Here is a 4,004-nt window from a genome sequence, read left to right as displayed (position 1 = left end):
TGTTTATGAATTAAATGCAGAAAAGTTATTATTATAATTGATAGATCTTTTTGTTTGTTTGTTTTGTTTGTTTTGAGATAGGGTTTTCTCTGTCACCCAGGCTGGAGTATAGTGGTGGAATCACAGCTCACTGCAACCTTGAACTCCTGGGCTCAAGGAATCCTCTCACCTCAGCCTCCCAAGTATTAATAGATAGGACCACAGGCACATGCCACTATGCCTGGCTAATTTTTTTCATTTTTTGTAGATAGGGGTCTTGCTATGTTGCCCAGGCTGCTCTTGAACTCCTGGACTCAAGCAATCCTCCTGCCTCAGTCTCCCAAAGTGATTATAGGTGTGAGCTGCCATGCCCGGCCAATATATCTTAACTATTTACTCATACTCCATTATGACCCCAAATAATATGTTTTAAAAAATACTTCAAATTCAGGAAGAAGGTGACTCTCCTCATATGTAATAAATATCAGCATGTACACACACACACACACACACACACACTAACATGTGAATAACACGGCTCTTTCAGTAGGATATGTACTTAAATGTGCTCTGCTTCATGTTCTACCACTGTGCTTTAGCAGCTCTTTGATGGTGAGATGAAGCTCAATTTCTCTGAGCTTTACTTTTATCATGTGCAAAATGGGGATTAAAAACAATATCTACCCCATGAGTAGCAAAGAGTAAACAGTGAATGCTAGATGGTAGTTTAGGAGAAGGAAGTAGGCTTGTTGTACTAGTCAGCCATTGCCAAAACAGTGCTATACCAGCCCCAACTCATTGCCCCCTGGAGGTGCACTTCTGGAATGGTGGCATGAAGGGCTCTGTAGACCCTCTCCCAAGCAAAACAACCATCATTGGTGAAAATTATTGAAAAGAAACAGCCACATAAAATCTCTGGAAATTCTCCTAAGGGCATACTGCAAATGGAAAAGCATTTATTCAAGACTATTACTAAATATTGGTAAGAATGGTGGGGTATGTGGCACTGATCCATGATCTCCTTCCTTTCCCTCCTTGAAGTTTGACTCCAGGTGGATGTGGTCAACGAGATGGACTCCCTCCCTACCTGAGCTCCTGACTTTGGGCTATGGATTCACCATAGTAGATGGCATCTCACATCTCTCCCCAGCTCCATGTTGCAGAAGCTCTATTACAGACAAGTGTGGCCAAGAGATCCATGGCTCTTTTCCTACACATATGAGCACCACTGGAGTGCAGTGGATTAAACCTGACAGGGCCCATCTGGGGGCAAGTTTGAGCCTTGCCAGTTTGATATTGGGTGCTAAGTGGAGTGGCAAATCTGGTGTACTTTGTGCTATAAATTTGTCTTTCTGTATTGTCCTGTCATAAAGAGGAGTAACTTAGGATTGAACACAGGCTTAGGACCCCATAAGACTGCTGTACAAGCCAGCCCAGCAAACTGGTCAGTTACAAACCTTGATGCAGGTCTCTGAAAAAAAAAATACTGGATGAAGTTTCCCTCTCATCTTGTTTCATGTCCTTGGGAGCTTGACCTTGTAACCACGTGGCAGTATTTTCTCTTGCTCTCCACCATCCAGAGAACAGGAATTTTGGAATTCATGTCATAGTTGGCTCTAAAAATTATCCTAAGCAGTTAAAAGTCATTGCAAGCTCAAAACTGGCTACTCTAGGCCCCTTCTGGGAATAGCAGTGGAAACTGCCCAATGCTGAATCTTTGTGGCTAAGGCTTTGTGTGTTTCCAATGGCAGCCTGGGTTCAGGGTTCAATTCCTGGCTTAGGGAATGAGTCACTCCTTGTTTGATATCTACATGACCTTTACCATTTGTTGATTCTCCTCCCCTCCATGAACCATCTTGAATTTTCCTTTCTCTGAGCACCTGGGAGGTTATGTTTGGTAAAGTTCAAAAGCCAGAAATACTGGTGATTTGGCATGACTAATGTTGGGTAATAAGAGGTTTAAAAGGATTTCTAAAGAGAGCACTGTGGTTAAAAGTCAGCTTAATTAAAACCACATATTAAAGCTCTAACAGCCTGGAACTCCTTGAGAAAAATAGGAGGTGCCACAGACCCTGTTTTGGGAAAAACCTCTGTTTTCCTCATGAAACCCCAGGAACTGAAAGTGGATAGATCTCTCTCAAAATCTAAAGCTCTGTTCTGTTTTGCATTGTGTTAGCCAACATTTTTGACTTCTGGGGGTACCAGATATTACTTCACATTGTGAGAGAGCTTTGGTGTGTAATGACTAGGTAGGAAATATACTTTTAGGGGTGGCTAATTGCAGTTATGGGGAGATACTCAGCTCTTTGTACGTTTGGATCAGAGGAGCATGCTCTTGGCTACCTAGAAGGTATGAAAATCTCCCCACCCCCACAGTGAGAGATAAGACTCACAGGGGGATGGGCTAATCATAGAATGTGCTGATTGTCTTTGGATTGCTTTGCAATGAAATGCATGGTAAAATCTTTGCACGTTGTTCTGTAGTGTTTCTCTTTTGGGGATCTAGGATCCAATATGAAAAATAGGACCTTTAATTTTGGGGATTTTTTTGCCTTCCAGTTGTGCCTAATTATTAGGCTGTAGAAACTGCATGCTTTCCTGGCCCTGTTCCTCCAAGGGCTCCACCCTGAAACCAGTAATCTAAATAAGAAACTGGAAAATGAAAAACCCTACAACTACTGGATCTTCTGTCTGTCTGTGTATTTATATGTGCTGTGTGTGATGTTTATATATGAAAGAGCTCTGATTAATTGGCTTAAAAATAATAAGTGCTTTAATCAAATATTTTGTCAGACAAATAAAAATTGTAATGACTTTTAGTAGGTTACTAAAGAAACAGTTTTACATGCAAAGTGAAATGTGTTTTTGGTAAGAGATTATAAGAAGGCAATGGACTGTGGGTTTTCTTGGGCCTAGTTTAGATGGCTAAAGGATTGTTTTAAGTTAGGTAGTATAAAGCTGAAAGTTTGAACAAGTTGTGGAAAGCTTGTGAAAAATTAATCTTGTAAAAAATTCTCTGTATGAACATATTGGCCAAAGTAAAAGGGTTATTATTTAGTTTTTCCATAAATTGAACACAACAGGTTTTTCTTAGAGCACTTATCTGTTCTTTCACAAAAATTTGTAATGGATTATAAAAGGTTTATGAGAATCTTACTTTATCGTCAAATATTAAAATTAGGTAGATTTATCTATAAGGTTTTATTAAGAATTGGATTTAACATAAGAGTACACTAATCTAAAGGTGAAATTTGACTTATTTGGTATAAAAGTCATACAAAAACTATTCTCAAATATGAAGTGCTGTTTGGCTTTCTTTGGGCTATATTTGTATAAATATATTATTGGTATGTGTTCCAAAATTATGGGAAACTCCTATAATTCTGATATGACTTAGTGTATGTTATTAATAGTTATAATTGTTATGTAAAATTGTTGTATGCCATAGAAGTAACCAAATTCCTTTTAAAAAAATTTATTATACTTTAAGTTCTGGGGTACATGTGCAGAATGTGCAGGTTTGTTACTTAGGTATACATGTGGCATGGTGGTTTGCTGCACCCATCAACCTGTCATCTACATTGGGTATTTCTCCTAATGCTATCCCTCCTCTAGCCCCCCACCTCCTGACAGGCCCCAGTGTGTGATGTTCCCCTCTCTGGGTCCATGGGTTCTCATTGTTCAACTCCCACTTATGAGTGAGAACATGCGGTGTTTGGTTTTCTGTTCCTGTGTTAGTTTGCTGAGAATGATGGTTTCCAGCTTAATTCCTGTCCTTGCAAAGGACATGAACTCATCCTTTTTTATAACTGCATAGTATTACATGGTGTATATGTGCCACATTTTCTTTATCCAGTCTATCTTTGATGGGCATTTGGGTTGGTTCCAAGTCTTTGTTATCATGAATAGTGCTGCAATAAACATACATGGGCACGTATCTTTATAGTAGAATGATTTATAATTTTTTGGGTGCATACCAAGTGATGGGATTGCTGGGTCAAATGATATTTCTGGTTCTAGATCCT

At 39.3% G+C, this 4,004-nt stretch overlaps 1 annotated feature.

The window, feature by feature from the left end:
* Positions 1,599–1,893: an enhancer, noted in NCBI's record as "tiled region #10160; HepG2 Activating DNase matched - State 5:Enh". NCBI's record gives its function as "activates a minimal TATA promoter and a strong SV40 promoter by Sharpr-MPRA in HepG2 cells {active_cell/tissue: HepG2}" and the evidence as "EXISTENCE:reporter gene assay evidence [ECO:0000049][PMID:27701403]".

This window comes from Homo sapiens, chromosome 20 (genome assembly GCF_000001405.40).
Source record: "Homo sapiens chromosome 20, GRCh38.p14 Primary Assembly".
In the NCBI taxonomy this organism is placed as follows: domain Eukaryota; kingdom Metazoa; phylum Chordata; class Mammalia; order Primates; family Hominidae; genus Homo; species Homo sapiens.
The sequence above is the reverse complement of the archived record's forward strand: the minus strand, read 5'-3'. Positions and strand labels throughout refer to the sequence as shown.